The following is a 22,211-nucleotide window of genomic DNA, read 5'->3' as shown; positions in this document are numbered from 1 at the left end:
CTCCATTCAATTAATCCAATTTAAAACTATTTATTGAGTCTCTACTATGTGCCAGGCAGGCTGTGAGCTAGGTGTTAAGATGTGACTATAACCTCTTTAGCGGATTCATCTGGAAGGATAGACAAACAGGTTTAAAATGTTTATATGGGCCAGGTGAGGTGGCTCACACCTGTCATCCCAGCACTTTGGGAGGCCAAGGAGTACAGATCACCTGAGGTCAGGAGTTTGCAACCAGCCTGGCCAACATAGTGAAACCCTATCTCTACTAAAAATACAAAAAGTTAGCCGGGCATGGTGGCACGCACCTGTAGTCCCAGCTACTAGGGAGGCTGAAGCCAGGGAATTGCTTGAACCTGGGAGGCAGAAGTTGCAGTGAGCTGAGATCGCACCACTGCACTCCAGCCTGGGTGACAGAGTGAGACTCTGACTAGAAAATATAACAACAACAACAATAATAATAATAATAATAATAATAATAATAATAATAATAATAAAAGGTTTATAGTGTAACGTGACAAGGAGTTAACTCCACATAGGAGATGAGGGCTGCTGGGAGTCAGGGAAGACTACCAGAAATGTATTCTAGAAGAAGGGACCATCTGAGCTTTGTTGTAAAGGCTAAATAGAGATTTGCTAGGCAAGACTGAGAAAGGAGTATGTCAGGCACAGAAAGTTGTGTTCGCAAAGGCTGGGAATGGACAAAGGCAGCTGTGTTGGAGGCCTGGGAGTGGTTACCTACCAGCAGGGCAGTATTAAAGTGCAGGGAGAATGGAAAAGACATGGGGGCTAAGGGAGGACACAGACCCAGAGGGACCCCTGCAGCCCATCTTAAGATCTTGTTTTTTATCCTGCAGCCATATGGAACAAGTGGAGGGCTAACCCAGAGGGTTAGGGATGGCCCTGAGCGGCTATAAAAAGATAGACAAGCACAGGGCAGGGCTGCAGGCTGGCAGACCACTTATGAGCCTGTTGAAACAGTCCAAGAGAGAGATAATGAAGGGGTAGAGACGAGAGAGATTTGACAGATGTATTTTTGCTGTAAAGAAAGAGAAAGAGAAAGAAAGTGAGATACCAGTCCTGTATAATTCATCCTTATTCTTCCAACCCTGTATTGCAAGGAACAGTGTTTGATGCACTGTGGGCTCTTAATAACTATGGAAATGTATGAATAACTCCTTTTTTTTTCTTTTTTTTTTTTTTTAGTCTCACTGTGTTGCCCAGGCTGGAGCGCAATGACACAATTACTCAATGCACCCTCTGCCTCCTGGGTTCAAGTGATTCCCCTGCCTCAAGCTCCTGCCACGAAGTGCAGCAAATTTTTTGTATATTTTTTTTTTCAGTAGAGATGGGGTTTCCCCATGTTGGCCAGGCTGGACTTGAACTCCTGACCTCAGGTGATCCACCCACCTCGGCCTCCCAAAGTGCTGGGATTACAGGTGTGAGCCACTGTGATTGGCCAACTCTAAGTATTATATATAATTCCTACAATTTATTAAAAGAAAAAACAGAGCTGGGTCTTTACATAGCAAGATATTAGTCACCTGGAGACTAGAAGAATTAGCACCAGGCACAGTTAGATTAGCTAAGACACAACTGGATTATTGGTAGTAGAATGCATAACCTTGGATAATGCACTTCAATTATCCAGGATTTGGGTGGAGAAGATACACTTCTCACAGCAGTGTTGTGAGGATCAAGAGAGAAAATATGTGTCCAAATATTTTACAACATATAAGGGCTATAAAAAGCTACAGTTCATTAAGGTGTTGCTCTGGATGGTGTGTTGAGCTCTGATCAACAGGGCTGATCTTGAGAAGTCAACCAGATGGGCAACAAAGCTTTCTCTGTGTCCAGAACTGGCAGGTCCCTATGGGGAACCTAGAGCTATAGCAGCTGCAATTCCTGAAATGTTGCCCTCCCTGCTCTCTACTCTGGTGCTTCCTTTCCTGTGTTTGCTTTTCTTTCTGCACTTGCCTTTGGCTGCCCCTGCCCTGTGGTCACTTCATGGGCAGCACCCAGGATGATGTCACCCTTCTTCTGTTCCAACAGTAACCACCCCCAACTGCTACCACCCAAGATAAGCAGGTGTGGCTCTGGGCCCCTCAGCAGCAGGCCAGTGGAGAGGTGAGACTAGCAGTGTGTGGCCTGGGACAGGAGTAGATAAAAGGCAGCCATGGTAAGTGTTCTCTCCCACAAAAGCATGCTGAGGTGGAAAGGCATGTATGAGTCAAAGTGTGTGTGTGTGTGTGTGTGTGTGTGTGTGTGTATGTGTTGGGGGCGGGGGCGCAATAGTAAAAAACTGTGCTATCACAGCAGAGCAAATACAACCAGCTAAGGTTTAGATGGTACTTGGATTTACAAAGTGCTTCCACTTCTGTTCCATCACAGGTGGTCCTTACAATATCTGGGTAAGGAGGAGCTGTTATTCCTATATTCCTATTTATCTAAAGAAGAAACTGAGGCTTACAAGAGCTCATCCAAGCTCCTCTAACCAGTGGCTGGGAGACTGAAAGCCCAGATCAAGCTTTCAGACTCTATTCTTTCACCGTCTTTGGTGGAGGGACAAGAGGAGGTGCCAGTGCGCCTAGGAAGCTGCATTCTATGAAGGAACCATTTGAAAAGTTAACATTTTCAGTTAATACAATAAGTAAATGCTTATTGTAAAAATTTTAACAGCACAGAAAAGTCTAAAGGAAAAGTACAAATCACTCAGAATCTCACCATTCAGACAAATACTGTGAATTTACCATTATTTCCTTCCATTGTTTCTTCTGTGCTTATGTTCTGTATAGCTGAGATTGCATTTTATATGTAATTATGTATCCTACGTTTCCACTTAACATTATATTATAAACATTCTTCTCTATGATAAAAGAAAAACTTCAGCCGAATTAAATTTAAAAGAGTTTAATTGAGCAATGAATGATTCGTGAATTGGGCAGCCCCCAGAATCACAGCAGATTCAGAGACTCCAGGGGTGTCTCGTGGTCAGAACAAATTTATACACAAAAAAAGTAAAGTGACATACAGAAATTAGAAATGAGGTACAGAAAGAGTGAGATTGGTTACAGCACTGCGTTTGCCTTATTTGAACAGTTTGAACATTCACTAGTCTTTGAGTGGTTGAAGTATAGCCATTGGGAGTGGCCAATACTCAGTCATTGTTACAGGTGCATATTACTAAGTTAGGTTGTCAATTTTGTCAGACTATTAGGCTAAGTTACAGTTCATCCAGAAGGGCTCAAATATAGAAGTACAGAGTCCTTCTCAGGCCATATTTAGTTTGCTTTAACATTGATTATTAAAAGCTCTTGACCGGGTGTGGGTGGTTCATGCCTGTAATCCCAACACTTTGGGATGCCAAGGCAAGTGGATCACTTGAGGCCAGGAGTTCCAGACCAGCCTCAGCAACATGGAGAAACCCTGTCTCTACTAAAAATACCAAAATTAGCAGAGTGTGGTAGTGTGTGCCTGTAATTCTAACTACTCTGGAGGCTGAGGCATGAAAATCATTTGAACCCAAGAGGCAGAGGTTGCAGTGAGCTGAGATTGAGCCACTGCGTTCCAGTCTGGTGACAGAGCAAGACCCTATCTCAAAACAAACAAACAAAAAACCCTCTTGTTTATAACTGTAATTTTTACTGATTGTATAATATTCCTTTATGTGAGCATACTGAAATTGATGTAAGTGTTCTCTATTTATCGATCAGTTAGTTTAGGGAGGAATTTCGTATTACTTTGTTCTTCAGGTTCCACAGACACCAAAGCAGCATCCCAGCTGGCTCCTTGCTTCAAAAATTCAACTCTTTCCATAGATTCTCAGTCTTGTAGGTTGAAACAACTTATCTCTAAATAATCTAACCATTTATTGATTTAAGACAAAACAAGCATCAGTGAAAACAGGGGCTGAGGTGGACAGGGAGGAGGTGATACATAAGTCGCTACCTTTGAAGAGCTTGCAGTATTATGAAGCTTAGATGACTAAAGCCTATGAAACAAGCAAGTTAAGGCAGATGCTCATTGCTGGGCTGTGATCCTTACTGCCAGAAAGCTCATGGAATGGGTTTGCGGGGGCAGAGCCATGGTGATGAAAATAGACAGCTCTCTTACCTGTCTTACGCTTCCTTTCATAAGCAGATCTCTCTCACAGGTTTGTTCCTCAGGAGTGAGTCGTGGTCAGCGACCCACTTGGTGGACGGGGCCTGGAAACTTCTGTTAAGCTTTGTGTTTATATGTTGCATAGCCTGAGTATGACTCTCAACTACAACATCTAACACTTGTAGAGTGTTTTCTGTATCCCAAGCACTCTGTGAAGTACTGCATGAGATTCTTCTTATCTCCCTCACACAGGGAGGCAATGTAGCATAATGGTCAAAGACCCAAAACCAAAACTGCTTTCTGACTGTGTGACTTTAGACAGAGTATTTTCATTTCTCCATCTGTTGAAAGGAGAGACAAAAATGTCTACCTTAGTGCATTGTTGAGAGGGCTAGATAAGACAGGTGGAGCATTTAGCTTGGTAACTGACACAGAGCAAGCATGTACCAAAGGTGAGCTCTTATTACTTAAGCTCCCCAAAACATTTCCCAGGAGGTCCTATTTTTATTTCCGTTTCATGGAGGCTGAAATTGAGGCACATAAAAGTGAGGTGCCTTGCCCACACAGACACAGACAGAGTAGGCCTCTAGAGACTGCACTCTGAATTCTATGCTGTACTGTCCAGAAGGAATTTTCCATCAAGGCACAGGGCCCTCCAAGGAGAAGCAGGGAACACTAACTTTTGTATGTGGTCAGGTCTCGGAAGATGAATGCAGAGCCTGAAAAGGAAAGAGAAGACTAGAGATGTTTGTTTGCCGGGGTCCCAGGCAATAATAAAAGAATTCTCATGGCTGCCAGAAGCCAGGGAAGCCAGCTGTAGTCTTTTGGTCTTTAGAAAGGGAGAAGGATGGGAAACTTAAAATATTTTGGCTGCATCAAAGTGCCCTATGGGATGCTGGCTGATTTACCGATGATGCAATATGTGCAAGTGATTCAAATTTGGTGAAAGAAAATGCTGTTCCTGAACTGGTATCCTGGGGAAGGCCCTGACTAGGGGCACTGGCCTGGGCAGAAAGAGTCAGAGAAAACTTGGTTTTGTTTTAATCTTTCACTTTTTTCTCCAGCCAAGTCGAAGCTTATTGTACCCCTCCCCGATTTCATTCTCCTCCTTTCCTCTCCACTAAAGTATATTTGGTGTGGTGTGGTGTGTGTGTATGTGTGTGTGTGTGTGTGTGTGCGCGTGCATTTATAGAATATGTAGCTACCTATTGTTTTACACAAATATACCAACTTCAGTGTTCTTTTTTTTTCTCATTTTTGTGTTTTTGCAGTCTATGTTGATACACATGGCTCTAGTTCATGTAATTTTTTAAAAAAATTTTCACTTCCATAGGTTTTTAGGGAATAGGTGGTATTTGGTTACATGAATAAATTCTTTAGCGGTGATTTGTGAGAGTTTGATGCACCCATCACCCAAGCAGTATACACTGAACCCAAGTTGTAGTCTTTTATTCCTCACCCCGTTCCCACCCTTTCCCTGAGTCCTCAAAGTCCATTGTGTCATTCTTATGCCTTTGTATCCTCATAGCTTAGCTCCTACTTATGAGTGAGAACATACGATGTTTGATTTTCCATTCCTGAGTTACTTCACTTAGAATAATAGTCTCCAATTCCATCTAGGTTGCTGTAAATGCTATTAATTCGTTCCTTTTTATGGCTGAGTAGTAGTTCATTCATTTTAACTGCTGTATAGTAGTCCATAATGAGAACATTCTATAATGTGTCCATTTCCTTACCAATGGAAATTTCCATTTTGTAAATATTGGCTATTTCAAATAATATTGCAGTGAACATTTTTGTACTATTCTTCTTATAAAGACGTGAGAATTTCTGGTTTTGGTATCAAAGTTATCCTATCTTTTATAACAAGGTTATCATATAAAATGAACAGGATAATTTTTCATTTTTCCCGAATTTCTTGAAACTGGTTAGTGTAGGATGAGATGCTCTGAGTTTTCTTTTCTTTTTAGGGTTTGATAAAATAACTTGTGAAGTCATTTGGATTTGGTTTGCCTTTCTTTTTCAGGAGGATGAGAGTGTGATGAGATTGGAAGATATTTGACTAGGAATGAAATTGTTGAACTAAAAAATAGTCACATTTTTAATTACGAAATTTCTCTTCAAAGTGATTGTATCAATTTATGCACCTACCAGCACTGTATGAGAACTGTTTCCTCATATTCTCTTCCACATTTGGTATTATTTAGCTTACCTGATGACACCTTATACCTGATGATACCCTATAGTTTAAAATTTGCATTGCTTGTTCATATATTTTGACTAATTTTTCTAATGGTATATTTGTCTTTTTTCTTAATGATTATAGGAATTTTATCCTGCATTCAAATCCATATCACAGCAAATATCTTCTTCCAGTTTGTTACTTGTGTGTTTGGCTGTGTATTGTAATTTAGAAATTTTAATCTCTATGTAGTCAAGTTTATCAGTTTGTTTCTTTATTATTTTTGCTTTTTTGAGGTCTTAAGATATTAGTCTTTAACTTCCTAAACATATTATTTTACATTATATTATGATAATTATAAAAGTTTGGGATTTTTTTACATATAGGCATTTAATTTTTCTGGAGTTTTTTTGTGTACAGTATGAGCTGGGTATTCAATTTTATCTCTTTCTATATGGAAAACTAAACATTGACTAGCAATTCAGTTTACTTAATGGTGACTGGTTTATTCAGATGTTCTTACGTTTTCTTGGGTAAATTTTGCATGCGTACGTATATCTATGTGTGTTTGTGTATACACACCTATTTCTGTTTTTATCTATATACTTGTATATAATTTTTCATGTTATCTAAGTTTTTGAATTTATAAGAATTCACTTTTTTGTAGTATTCTTTTATGTATGTGTAGTTCATCCCTTTTTCTTTCTAATTGGGCATCCTTGCTTGAGATTTTCCTTTTCTATTAGTAATGTAACTAGCAGCTTTTAATTTTGCAGATCATTAATATTTTTTCCATTACTTTTACTCTTATTTATTTTCTATTTTCTTTGAATTTAATGTTTTCTTTTTCTTCTTGAACACTTAACTCATTTATTTTCAATATTTAATTTAACACATGGATTTAAGACTATAAATTTCTCTATAATTCTTGTCTTCATTGACTCCCATAAATTTGATATATAGTGCTTTCATTGTTATGCAGTTTGAAATATTTTATAACCTCCATTGTGATCTTTTTTCTCTAATTCATTGGCGGCCGGGTGTGGTGGCTCACGCCTGTAATCCCAGCACTTAGGGAGGCCAAGGCTGGTGGGTCACTTGAGGTCAGGAGTTCGAGACCAGCCTGGACAACATAACGAAACCCCCATCTCTATTAAAAATGCAAAAATTAGCCGGGCTTAGTGGTACACGCTTGTAATCCCAGCTACTCTGGAGGCTGAGACAGGAGAATCGCTTGAACCCGGGAGGTGGAGGTTGCAGTGAGCTGAGTTTGTGCCACTGCATTCCAGCCTGGGTGACAGAGCAAGAATGTCTCAAATAAACAAACAAACAACTCATTGGTTACCTAGATGTGTGATTTTTGCTTTCCAAATTTATGATTTTTTATTCAATTTTATTTTAATTATTTTGTTGTTGATTTGTGAATTCTTTTTAACGTAGAGTCTATGCAATTTCTAAAACAACCTTTATGACCTAGTAGGTGCTCAACTTATGTGTGTGTGAAAAGAATATATATTCTGCACTTGGGTTCTATGTGTCATTGTTAGATCAAGATTGACATTAGTGCTGTTCAAATCTATTCCTTTGCTAATTTTTTTGTCTGCTTGATTGCTGATACGGTTTGGATCTGTGTCCCTGCCCAAATCTCATGTCAAATTGTAATCCCCAATGTTGGAGGTGGGGCCTGGTGGGAGATGACTGGATCATGGGGGTGGTTTCTTATGAGTGGTACTCACTCATAAGAAGTACCTCACTTGGTACTGTCCTCATGATAGCGAGTAAGTCGTCATGAGATCTGGTTATTTAAAAGTGTGTAGCACTTCCCTTGTCTCTCTTGCTCGTTCTCCCACCATGTGAGATGCCTCACTCCCCCTTTGCCTTCCACCATGATTGGAAGCTTCCTGAGGTCTCTTCAGAAGCAGAGGCCGCTATACTTCCTGTACGGCCTGCAGAACTTTAAGCCAATTAAACCTCTTTTATCTATATATTACCCAGTCTCAGGTATATTTTTATAGCAATGTGAGAACGGACTAATACAATTGCTTACTAATAAATGTGTGAAAAAATTCCTGCTATCTGTGTTGATTTGTCAAGTTAATGTAATTCTGTCATTTTTCGCTTTACCTAAGCAGATACTGTTGGGCACACACAATTCATGACTGGTATATCTCCTGGGTGGTTTTTCCCTTTTATCATCATGGTGTTCCCCCTTTGTGGTAGAGAGAGTTAGTACTCTACATTCTTGCTCTTAGGTTGGGCCATGTGACCTGTTCTGGAGAATGAGTTGTGAGGAAAAGTGTGCTTCTTCAAAACTGTGAGGAAAAGTGTGGCTCTGCAGTGCCTCATTCATTTCTCTCCTCCCCTGCCATGGTGATCTGGGAGGCCTTACATTTCAAATGACATAGCTAAAATATGTAACCAGGCCTCCTAACTTATACTGACCATATGTAAGTGAGAAATGAATCTTTTTATATTAACCCACCGGGATATCAGAGGTTTGTTAGTCATAAAAGCTAGCGTTAATTATTTTGAAATATATTCCTTTATGATATATATGTATATCACATATATATTTTAATGCCTTTTTGTTCAAATTTTACTTATCAATTCCTTCATATTCAACCTTGCTTTAAATGTGCAGTTCGAGACCAGCCTGGCCAACATGGTGAAACCCTGTCTCTACTAAAAATACAAAAAAGAATAGCCAGGCATGGTGGCAGCTGCCTGTCATCCCAGCTACTCGGGAGGCTGAGGCAGGAGAATGGCTGGAACCTAGGAGGTGGAGGCTGCAGTGAGCTGAGATCCCGCCATTGCATTCCAGCCTGGGTGACAGAGTGAGACTCCCTCTCAAAAAACAAATAAACAAAACAGAATATTGCTGGATTCAAAAATTCATCTAGGTGTCTCTGTTTTTTAATAATGAATTTAATTTGTTGTGATTACTGATGTATTTGGTCTTATTTCTGCTATTTCATTTTGTGTTTTGTATTTAACAAGCTTTTTCTTTGCTTCTTCCCACCCCAACACCCACCCTGCTTCCTGTTTTCTGTTGGATTGCTTTCATTTTCTCTATTTTCTTCGTTTTTATTTTCTGGTGGTATTCCTGAAATTTTAATATGCGATCTTTTAAATGTACTTTTTATTTCTTAATTTTCATTTTGTAATAATTTTATACTTACAAAAGGTTGCAAAAATAGTACAGAGAATTCCAACGTATCCTTCTTCATCTGCAGATAGTAACGTCTCACATAATCACAGTAAAATCATCAACACGAAGACATTAACATTGATATAATACTATTAACTAATTTATAGGCCTTATTTGCATTTTTCCAATTGTCCCCCTAGTGTCCTTTACCTGGACCAGGGTTTAATCCAGTATCATTTATTGCAGTTAGTTGTTTTATCTCTTTAGTCTCCTCTAATCTGGGACAGTTTCTTGCTTTTTCCTTATCTTTCATGATCTTGACATTCTGAAGAATACTAGCCAAATACATCTCGTAGAATGATCTTCACTTTGGATTCATCCGATGTTTCGTTGTGATTAAATTCAAGTTATGCATTTTGGGCATGAATACCGCAAACACTATGGGTTCTTAGTACTACACGATACCAATTTCTCATTACTGGTGATGTTAACTTTGGTCACTTGGTTATGGTGATGTCTGTCAGGTTTTTCCACTGTAATGTTACCATTTCTCCTTTCCAATTGAGATATATCTTGTAGGAAGATGCCTTGAAACAGGAAAGCATCCTAATTTTCATCTTCATACTCTTATCTGTCACTGTTAGCATCCATTGATGATTCTTGCCTGCAACACTTATGACAGTGTTTGCAAAATGGTAATGTTTCTATCACCATCGCTTCTTTTGTTTTTATTAACTAAAGTATACTATAAGGAAGAGTTTTTCCTTTTTTGCATTTCCTTATTCAACTTTTTTATTCTTATTACGTACTCACTTGTTTTTTCTATGGGCCATAATCCATTATAATCATGATTTATGTTACTGCTTAAAATGTTTCAGATTTGGCCATTGGGAACATTTTCAAGTTGGCTGCTGTGGATATGCCCCCATCAGTTTTTGAGCGTTTCTTTACTTTTTGTCAACATGAGATGTTTCAGGCTCACCTTGTACTGTTCCTGCTCTAGCCCTAAAGTCTGCCATTTCTCTCAGGAGTTCTGGTTCCTATTAGTGGAGACCAAATTTTAAAACAAGATATGGTTGCTAGGTTTGCATTGCTTCTAGATTCTCTTAGTAGACAAAACTAGGACACTGTTCCATGTCAGTTCATAGAGATCTTCTTCTTTCTTCCTATGGCTGCACAGAATTCCATAGTGTGAATGTACCAGAGTTCATTCAATTACTCTTCTGTGTGTGGGTATTTAAATGTTTCCAGGATTTTGCAATTACAAAGAATGTGGCAATGAATAACCTCATGCATGTGTACTTTTGTATTGATGGAGGTGTATCTTCAGGGTAAATTCTTAAGAGTAGAATTACTACATTAAAAGGTAAGTGCACGTGTAATCTATCAGATATTGTGAACTCCAAAAGGATTGTAGTGATTTCCATTTTCACACCAGTATTTGAGAGCAATTGTTTTCTTTTTCACCACCGTTTTGTCAGTAGAAGTAGTCTTTTTGATTTTCACTAATCTGATAAGAAATGGATTGTCATTTTAATTTGCATTTCTCTACTTATGAGTGAGTTTAATATCTTTTTTATGTTTGAGGGTCATATTTATGTCTTTCTTTTGGTACATTGTCTGTTCATCTTTTTCACATTTTTGTATTGCAGTTTTGGTACCTTGTCCCTCAATTTTTAAAAGTTCTTTATATGTTAGTGATATTAGCCCTGTCCGTAGTATCTGCTGAAAGTATTTTCTCTGTCAGTTGTCTTTTAACTTTGCTTATGTTTTGTCTTTCCCATAAATAGTTAAAACTTTAATAATAAATGTTTGTTTATTCTTATTTAAAAATTCTATAGAAACATTTATCCATCTATTCTTTTGTTACCTCTGGATTTTGAGTCATAATTAGAATACTTTTTAATGTATACCATATATATGGGTGACTTTCTGTTTAACCTAAGCATGGGAAAAGTGACCATATATAAACATATATATATATATATATATATTAGTACTTGTATGGTTCTATTTTAAAATTTATATTTATTTGGAACTTGTTTTTTATTTATTTTATGAAACATTTTTATTTCTTGAATGAGGCATGGATCTTGTTTTGTTTCATTCCAAATGGCTATCCAGTTTTCTAAGCATCATGTATTCAAAAGTCTATCTTTAAAGGAAGAAACAAAACAAAAAATAAAAAATAAAGAAACCCAAAAAGCAAAAGTCCATCTTTGACCCAGTTACTTTAGATGTCATATTTTTAATACACTAATATTCCATGTGTACTTGGATCCATTCCTGAGCTTTCTATTATATTTGGCTGGTCTATTTGTCTATGCATGAGCAAATACCATACTGCTTTAATTATATGGGTTTTACATTATAGTTTAATGTCTGTCTGACAGAGTTAGTACCCCCTTATTGTTTTCATTTTTCTGTTGTTTTTGTTGTTGTTGTTAATTTTTTGAGACTGAATCTCGTTCTGTTGCCCAGGTTGGAGTGCAGTGGCGCGATCTTGGCTCACTGCAACCTCCACCTCCTGGGTTCAAGTGATTCTCCTGCCTCCAGCCTCCTGAGTAGCTGGGACTACAGGTGCATGCCACCACACCTGGCTAATTTTTGTAATTTTAGTCGAGACGGGGTTTCACCATATTGATCAGGCCGGTCTCAAACTCCTGACCTCATGCAATCCACCCTGCCTCGGCCTCCTAAAGTGCTGGGATTACAGGCATGAACCACCACGCCTGGCCTCTGTTGATGTTTTTTAAAGTGCTTTCCTGGCTATTCTTACGTATTTTCCCCATATGAATTTTAGTATCAACTGGTGTAACTCACTAAAATGCTTGTTGGAATTTTCTTGAGTTAACATTAAATTTATAAATTAACAAGGAGAACTGATAATTTTTGTGATGTTGAGTCATCTTACTTAAGAATGGATTCTTTCTATTTGTTTAAGTTTACTTTTGTGTCTTCCAAAAGGTTTAAAGTTTTGTTTATAGAGATTTTGCCCATTTCTTGCTGGGTTTTTTCCTATATATTTAATCTTTTGCTATTGTAAATTTCTTAACCATTATTTTCTATAACTGGTTATTATGTATGTGAAGGCTATTGATTTCTGTATGAGCACACATTTTTTGATTTAGCAAAACTCTAACCCTCATTCATTACCTTCACTCTCTTCCAGAACAATATAAGAACTTAAGCTTTGATCTCTGCACTGACACTATTCATTTTATTTTTCTCCAGTGTTTAAGTTCCTCTTTGATTTCTTCCCATAAGAGATGAGGGTCTCACTATGTTGCCCAGGTTGGACTTGAATTCCTGGGCTCAAGGGATCCTCACTTCAACCTCCTCAGTAGCTGGGATTGCAGATGCTCACCACTGCTCCTGGCTTTTTCCCACTCTTGTCGTTGTTATTATGATTAGTACTCAATGCTTATTTAGATGTTTCCAAAAGAAATCTAAGTAAGAAAAATCTCATTTGGATATTTTAGAAATATTCAAAAGATATTTGCCAATATCTTTGCCTAGTGTTACTTTTGAAGCCTTTTTATCATTTGAGGTTCACTGTCTTTCTTCTTGAAATACACTTTTAGCAGATCTTTCAAAAAGAATTTGTGTAGTAAACTCTCTCTTTTTCTGAAAACACCATTGTTTTGTGCTCACTCTTGAATGTTGTTTTAGTTAGATAACATACTCTATTGTCTGGAATCCTTTGTTGTGGCAGAAAGTCTTAGCCTAATGTTACTGCTTGTTAATTTCTCTGTTTCTGAATGGCTTTGTTTATAATACTCTATTGTTTTATTGCTATGTGTGTAGAGGTGGGTTTCTTTTAATTTATTTGTCTAAGAATTTTTATGTTCCTGCCATATGAGGACTTCTTTCTTAAATTCTGGAAAATTCTTAAGTATTATCTCTTTGAATATTAACTCTTTTCTATTTTTTCTTTTCCTGTGTTCTGGAATTCCTAATGTACATTTGGACATTATATCTTCCACGTATTTAACCCTTTTTCATATTTTCTCTTTGTGTTGCATTCTGAGCAGTTTCCTTATATCTATTCTTATAATTCACTTAATTTCTCAATGGTTTTGTCTAGTTTTCTGTTCAACTCACCCATTGGATTTTTTTCACTGACTGTATATTTTTATTTCTAGATTTGAAATTTGATTCTTTTAAATCTTTTCTTTTTCTTGCTGCCTTATTTTTACCATGTAATTTTCATTCCTGCTGTTAACTTTCAAACCGGGGCAGATCAAGGTTTTGAAGAATCTGAAGCCTATACACTTTGGAAGTCCCCTCTTTAAGAAAAGTAATAAATCAACCACATACAAAATTAGGTAAAATAGTGAATATTTATTTAGAACAAGGAAAGAAATCACAACAAATTATGGATTCAGAAAGCTGACAAATACCACAAACATTATACAAAATCCAGAAAAATAACAATATACTTTAATAATTAACTGCCTGACACATCTCTGTAGTTGACATCTTCTTCATATGACAAGTTTATAGTATTTTCTAAAGAGAAAATAGAAAGGTAGTTCAGTCTTTTCTATACCATATTTGATCAAAATGTAATTTTTATTTTTTGTGGTTTGGAAAAGTTAGTTTCATTTTCATACATAGTTATTGGCAATATCATAAATTTCTAGAATGGTTGTAAAATTTGGAAAAAGCTCTATCAAGTTTTTTCTATATATAAGCTGTATGAATTGGAACTTTGGGGGGTTCCTGAAGCGTGGAGACCCTCAAGTTGGTGATTACTTGCCCTAAAGATCATCTATCTGCCTTTGATCCCAAACCTACTGGCTGCTGCGTGCAGTTCTGTCTCATGTGGGAGTAGCAAGGATTTTGGCATGTTCTCAGCCTCATGGCTTGTGAGGCAAGCACAAAGGAACAGCCAGTTACCATGCTGCAGTTGTTGCCCAGTATCTTTCTGGGAGCATGTATGGGGTCTGCCTGCCAGGCTGCACACCTGCTCCAGCTTGCTCATCACATGGCCCATGGAGCAGCAATTTCCCTTATATGAGGTGGTTACACACCTGTTTTCTTTAGTCAGGCAAGCAAATACATTCGTGGCATGAGCCAAATTTCTCCTTCAAAGACATGCTTAGAGCACCTATTGCAGGTGACAAGCAGCAACTGCACCTCTGGGGCCAGGATGGGCCCCTGTGGCTGGCAGGGGTAATCTCTCCCCACACCTGTGTGCTTCATACTCAAGCCAAAAGGACATAAAACACATATTAACTACAATCGCTGCTTTGAGGTTGCTTCCTGCCATTTTGGAAGCAGTGTGCCATGGTGGAGGATGTTCTTGTACATGTTTGATGAGTAAGTGGTACATCCTGTCCTTTTAGTCAGGAGGCATAGTTGTGTAGAATTGCAGTGTTGAAAAGACCCTAAATGTCATCCAGTTGAGCCACCCAGGGGACCAGTGTTATTTGGATGGCTGTCTCTGCCTGTCTGCCTTCTGTCTGCTGCATCACAGGAGACAGCTGATGCTGACATCGCAGATTGTGTCTTCCCTGGAATCCCTAGATATCTTAGGGAGAGCAGCAGAGCAGCATTGATGACATAGGCTCCCAGCTACAGCCAACCCCTGCTATGCTAACTGAGAAGAAAAGGAAAAGATCCTGGTTTTATCTAGTGGTTCTTAAAGCTTGATTTGTGTTCAACTTCCTGATTTGATTTTAAATTCCATTCCTTTTCTTTGGTTCTTATTGACAAATGTTGTGTCTGTAGAAAGATTTTATTTTCCCTTTTTTTCATTTCTGTTTCTGTATAGAACTAAGGCTTACTTAGTAGAATCTTAAAAAGTACTCTACTAAAAGTTACTAAAAATTTAGTGTCTTGGACTGAAATTGTTAGTTTATGAAAAGTTGGAGTCAGGACTTTTCTCCTTACAAATAAAGACCTTCTCCGTGTCCCTAGTACATGCCAACTGATTCCCACTCGAGGGGCTTTGCCCTCACTGTTCTATTTGAAGACTTTTGGTCAGTTATGACTATTAGAAATGTCTAAATTTTTTAGAATTAGGGTTAAGGTTAGGGCAAAATCTGTTCCCCATTGTCTTTTCCTTCTTGGCTGATGTTTTTCCGGTAATGCCAATTGCACGGACTCCTGGGCACCCCTTTTAGAGAGAAGAGATAGACATGTATTATTGAAACCTATTTCATCTCCCCAGTGCCTGGAATGTGTGATGTAATTTTACAGTAGGTAAGCTTCCTTCACTTGTTTTTCTGGCATTAATTTTGGACTTTGACCTTCACCGGGAAACGCTAGGCCAGAATTCAACAATTTTAAAAAATTGGTTAAATGCTCTTTGTAAACATCATGTAAATGGCCATATACATAGACTGTATGTCCCAGAGTTTACTTAACCTTCTCCTACTTTGGAATGTTTAGATTTAAATGATTTTCTGTAATTTTTACAGATCCATAAAATAGGAAACTCACTCATACATAATCAAGAGGTGACTGCATTTGCTAGACTTAGTGCAGACCATAAAATATCCCCTGGAATTAAGGCAATTGAAAGCTACAGTCCAAAAAGAGCTTGTTCATGTTTTAGTTTCAAAATCCTAGCCAAGGAACTAGGTAAACAGTTATCAAAAACACAAATGGTATTCAGGGAAAGAAATCTGTAATATAGTTTAAGTATGCATTAAATCTTTTATTAAAATATCTTGGCTTATTAAATGCCATATTTAAGGTCGCTTTCCGAATAGTTTTAATAATGCTTATACTGCAGTGTAGTTTGTGCACCCATTAAAAGAGAGAAATATGTTTACATGGTGTAGTCATAAAACCTATAAACTGCCATTTTGTAAGTGGCTAAGATGTGAATTGCCACAGAAACCCAGACCTGCAGCAGCTGCAAGTACAGGAAATAAGTTTCTAAATGCTGACACCGGTCATGAAACTGATATTTTATTTAGATGTCCTTGCAGCACAGAGCTCTTGGAAATCATGTTTATAGTCTTCGTGCAATAGAAATACAAGCAATGGCGTATATTTTGGCAGGTGGTGCCCGATTTAGTTGTAATAATTCACAACACTGCTTCAGGGCTTCCATGTTGCTCCAGGCAAAAACCTGTATTATAAATTATAGCACACAAAGCTGAATTTGACCTACCAGTTGATGCATAATAAACTGACTTAATTCTGAATATTAACTACACATTGTGGCCTAAAGGTTTTATGCTCTCTAAATGTAGCAATACATTATACAAAAATCTTCCTCTTGGGTGAAGCCTAAATATAAATAAATCCCCAACCTTAATACTATGCCGAAAGACCGGTTACTATAGATACCAGAGGAATATATTAATTTTAAATATTATTGCCGAATAAAATAACTTTAGAATATCACTAAGTACCTGCACTAATTATAGAAACTTTCAGGAGAAGTTTCGGTACTTTAATAAACCATTTTCCATTTGTCACATTTCTTGAGTGGTAAACTGAAAGATATCACCTTGTCTCTTCAGTGATCAGCATGGGTAAAATGATTTTTAAGAATTCACCTCTCTAGTCTCAAGCACAAGAGTTAGCCCATATATATATATGTGTGTGTGTGTGTATACACATATATATGTATTATATATATATACACTTATATATACTTATATATATATATATATATATACACAATACATATATATGTGTATATATATACATATATATATACTTAGCAAATATTGGTCAGTGAATGAATGGAAAGGAATGTTTTGAAAGTGATCAAAATAGTCTTGGGTTTGAGGAAGGTAGATTCCTGGATTTAGGTATTTTGCTCTACCAATGAGTTTCTGTGTGATACTGAGCAAATCACTTAGCTTCTCTGAGCCTCTTTACTTGCTGGTAAAAGAGAAATTAAAAAAAAAATCCATCCCTATTTCACAGGATTTGAGGTTTGTGCATAGTTGAGACCAACATTTGTGAAGTATTTTGAAAAGTATTACTATCTCTAGCAAAGATGTTTTCTACAGGTGAGAAACAATCAACCCTAGCCAAAGGGTGGACTCTTTTTGCCATGTTTGTAACATGGGGCCCCATTTCTTTCTGGCCACAGTTGACTCTTTCTGGGATAGATAGATCTTCTCTTTTAAGAATTTGAACTGACAGACTCAGAGCCTGGGAGTTGGTTCATAATTGTCCCTGAACCAAGAAGTATCATGTCCTTCTTTGGGCCTGATTCTATTTTATTTCCTGCCCCCAGTTTCTGTGAGCTCTCCCTATATCTCAGTAATAAACCCCCCTTTCTTTGAGTTATATTAAGTGGGATTTAATTTCTGGCAACAGAACCATCCTGAGACAATTTTATGCACATCCCTTCTGCATTCATTTCTTGAGAACCTACTATAAATCAGACTCAGGAACTTTTGATTTTAAATTGTGAGGATAAAACAAAATTCAATATGATATGAGTCAAAAATGCTAATACACATAAAAATATGAGTTGTGGCTTAAATGAAATAGCAGGAAGAAATAATATCTGCACCAGGAGGAGGGGTAGAGTAGGAGAGTCCTAATAGAAGAGAGTTTCTTATATACACCCCCCTCTTTAATTTATACTGCCTCTATTGTGCTGAAAGCCCTGATTATGTCTTGTGTGGACTATTAACAGCTTCCTAACTACTGTCCTTGTCCTCAGTCTGCCCTCAATACTACTACCAGAGTTATCAGGTGGCATCAACCATATAATATGACAACACTCTTAAAATCAGCCTTGAAAATACCCTCACATCCATGGGCTAAAGTCTGAACTCATGCCTTGGAAAACTGACCATTCTTTGTCCCAGAATTCCTTTCTATGGTCAGGTCTCATTCCTTCTCCACATACTCCAGGATCCAACAATCTGGAACCTTGTCCTTGTCCTTGACTATGTTTTGTCCTTGCCTCTGTGCCTTGGCTTACACCGTCCTCTTGTCTTTACCTGGAAATCCACTGTTGTACCTTACAGCTGAAGTGCTACCTCTTCTGAGCCTTACCATGATCCTTCTCACTAGCAGAAATAATAATTAATTTTTCGAAGTCTATCCATGCCTACACAGTGCACTATACATACCAGCACAATGTCTTATGGTTAATTGTTTATGTGTCTATCTTCCTTCTTCTTAGGAGGCAACTTGAAGGCAGGAGAGGTATTACTCATCTTTTCATTCAGTGACCCAATAGAAAAAGCTCATGGAAGGGGCTCAGCAAATGATTGTTTAATCAGATTGGGATGAAATTTGAATTGGACTTTGTACAATGGTTACAATTTCAGAAGGTAGTTGTGGGACAGAGAGGCCTTAAGAACCAGAGAACAAAAACCTGAGCCGCGGGCAGGAGCATTCAGAGCAGATTCAGGGGAGGGCATGTTGTCAGTTAGGCTGGAAAAAAAGAGAAGAGATAATGAAGATGAATAAAGAAGATAATGTTGCAAAGATTGGTTAGGACCCTGTTGTGGCAGATTTTAATTTTAAAAATGTGAGCTTAATTTTGTAGGCACCAGGGAGCCATGCCTAAGTCCTTGAGCATATTGGAGATGTGATCAGAACTGCATTTGAAGGAGATTAACCTGGCAAGGTGTGAGGGTGTACTGGGCTGGAGGTCCTGCAGGACTCTCATGCTCCAAGGGAGAAGGCCAGGCATGGTCCCCCACTGTGTCCATCTAGTTAACTATTTCTTTATATTTTTCCATTCTTTTTTTAGACAAATTACAACAGACTTATTCACCATGCCAGTCTCATTTTCTTCATTTTGGTTTTGGGAGTCAGAGCATTTGATAGACAAGAACAAGGGCGTATCATCCCCATCCAGATGTCACCCTGACTTTCATTTTTAGCAATGCTGGAGAGATGGAAATGGTTTGATATGGAGACACACTTGACCTGTTCTATTTTTGCCATGCTTTCAGGCGGCTTCACAAGAACACTGGGTTCCTGCATCAACAAGGGAATTGGAAGGTTTCACATTGCCTCAGTGGCTTTGGTTTCCCTTCTGACTCCCCAAACTTGGCAAAATTCAGAAAGCATGACCTCCAGGTTTCAGCTGCTTTTATTACAAATATTACTTCTTACCTGGAGCCTTTGTTAATTCTTTACCAGCCCCCAAGGCCGAAGCAACCCCACCTCTATGGTATTTACATTTTCTACCTGAAATTATGATTATCTATAAAATGAGCTTATGTGTCCACAAGCCTGAAATCTCCCTGAGGGCAGGACCAGGTCTTGTATATTCTTAAAACCTTAGCACTCCTTACTCCCTATTCTGTTTCATCTATGTCCATGGTCCTTGAAAGTAGCAGGTACTAATACCTTACATTTGAATAACACTTAATAGTTTGCATAAACTCTCTGTACATCAGGAAAGGAAGGCTTTCTCATTCCCGGTTCTGTTTTGCAGATGAGACCATCAAGACTCAGAGTATTTGAACATTTGCATAAAATGACAAAGCAGAGATCAAGATTCATGTTTTTTTTCCCTTCCAGGTTCATAAATACTCTTTCTACTACACTCTCCCGCTTCATGCTGGCTGATGAATGAGTGAATGTGAGTTTTAGTTAGGATTTTATTTTGGAATTACATAATATTTTAGTGAGGAAAGAACCTGTTGAGATGTCATCACATTCTCTGTAGCATCCTGGGGAGGCACATATGACAAGCAGTGGAGTGCACGGCAGTGTGGAGATTTCCTGGATCCCACTGAAATATTTAAAATTCAGCCATTAATCATAACAGCTGTATTCTTGCTTCAAGTGATGAGCCACTAACGATTTCAACATTCCGAGTTTTAGAAATTCCCATTAATTGTCCTTAAAAAAAGGGCAGGAATGAATAAACTTGACTTCATTTGTGAGGAAAGAATCAGTTCCTCTAACTCTCTTAGTTGCTCTTGGTCTCCCATTTTTTTCCCTTCAAAATCATTTGATCTAAAGTGCAACTATTTTCTGAACTTGTTTCTCCGCGTCTGAATTGTAAAGGCTGAATGTTCTAAGTGGCTGTTGGTCTCCAGAATCAACAGGAAGGAATGGGCCCTTTGATAACCGGTGCTTCTGGGAGCAGTCCCTGCTAGCCAGCTTAGCTTCAAAACAGAGCAATGCTAGAAGAGACAAGGACTGGAGGCTGAGAAAGGTAAACACTCATCAATATGTAGAGTGATAAACTTCTTTAACATTGAGAAGACAGTATAGCTTTAAGATAATGTATGAGTATATATGTATGTATACATAGATGTACATGTCCATATCTGTGGGTTCCACATCTGCAGATTCAACCAAATAAAAAGAAATGTAAAATTTTTGAGAAAAATGATAAAAATAACAATATAATAATAAAACATAATACAAATAGAAATTATACAGTATAACAACTATTTACCTGCCATTTACATTGTATTAGGTGCTAGAAGTAATCTAGAGATGATTTAGAGTATATGGGAGGATAAGTATAGGTTATATGCAAATACTATTCTATTTTATATGAGGGACTTGGGAATTCATGGGTTTTGGTATCTGTGAAGGGTCTTAGAACCAGTCCTCTGAGGATACCAATGGACAACCGTGTGTGTGTGTGTGTTCATGCATGTAGTATATATGTGTGTCTATGTCTACATCCTCTATATCATTGCTTTATACAAAAGCTCTCAGATTTTCCATAGTTCCCTCGCTCATTGGTTCACAGAATTTGGTATGAATGTGTAGACAAGTTTGTATTCTAGTTCGGAGTTTTTCAAAATGGGTTATTTCTCGTCTTAATCTGCTATGTAATGTAATCATTCAGTTTTAACAAGTCAGTAATAATTTCAGAAAGACTGAGCCATTCCATGTAGACAGCATTCAATTGCTCTTAAGTGAGGAGTTTAATTTTCTTTCTTTCAAGTATATTTTAAATTATTTGTGTTTAGATGTTTCATATGAACCTGTGTATTCATTTGCTAGGGCTGCTTTAACAAAGTACTGAAAACTGAGAATTGACTGGCTTAAACATTAGAAATGTATTGTCTCACAGTTTTAGAGGCTAGAAGTTCGAGATCAAGGTGTTGGAAGGGCCATCTTCCCTCTGAAGTTTCTAGGGACAGATCCATTCCAGTCTTTTCTCCCACCTTCTAGTAGTTCCATGGCTTGTAGCAGCATAACTCCAGTTTTTACCTGGTAATCTCTCTGTGTGCATGTCTACATCCAAATTTTCTCTTTTTATAAGGACGCCAGTAAAATTGGATTAGGGGTCTGTATGAGTCTGTTTTCACGCAGCTGATAAAGGCACACCTGAAACGGGGAAGCAAAAGAGGTTTAATTGGACTTACAATTCCTCATGGCTGGGGAGGCCTCAGAATCATGGCAGGAGGCAAAAGGCACTTCTTACATGGCAGTGGCAGGAGAAAATGAGGAAGAAGCAAAAGTGGAAACCCCTGATAAACCCATCAGATCTTATGAGACTTATTCACTATCATAAGAATAGCATGGGAAAGACTGGCCCCCAAGATTCAATTACCTCACCTTGGGTGTCTCCCACAACACGTGGGAATTCTGGGACATACAATTCAAGCTGAGATTTAGATGGGTACACAGCCAAATCATATTATTCTGCCCCTGGCCCCTCCAAATCTCATGTCCTCACATTTCAAAACCAATCATGCCATCCCAACAGTCAGTCTCCCAAAGTCTTAACTCTTTTCAGCATTAACGCAAAAGTCCACAGTCCAAAGTCTGATCTGAGACAAGGCAAGTTTCTTCTGCCTATGAGCCTGTAAAATCAAAAGCAGGCTAGTTACTTCCTAGTTACAATGGGGGTATTGGGTAAAT

General features: G+C 38.0%; 1 long non-coding RNA gene across 1 annotated transcript in view; it reads left to right on the top strand.

Annotated features, from left to right (window-relative positions):
- Positions 1 to 2,104: 2,104 nt before the first annotated feature.
- The window catches only part of LOC107984782 (uncharacterized), a 208,325-nt gene continuing 188,218 nt past the window's right edge, over positions 2,105 to 22,211 (top strand). The window contains exon 1 of the long non-coding RNA XR_001751569.2: positions 2,105 to 2,176. This is a non-coding gene — a long non-coding RNA (uncharacterized LOC107984782). The remainder of the gene's footprint in view (positions 2,177 to 22,211) is intronic.

The sequence above is a fragment of the Homo sapiens genome, chromosome 15, assembly GCF_000001405.40.
Source record: "Homo sapiens chromosome 15, GRCh38.p14 Primary Assembly".
Taxonomy (NCBI): Eukaryota; Metazoa; Chordata; class Mammalia; order Primates; family Hominidae; genus Homo; species Homo sapiens.
Note: the sequence above shows the minus strand (reverse complement) of the source record. Positions and strands in the feature narration are given on the sequence as shown.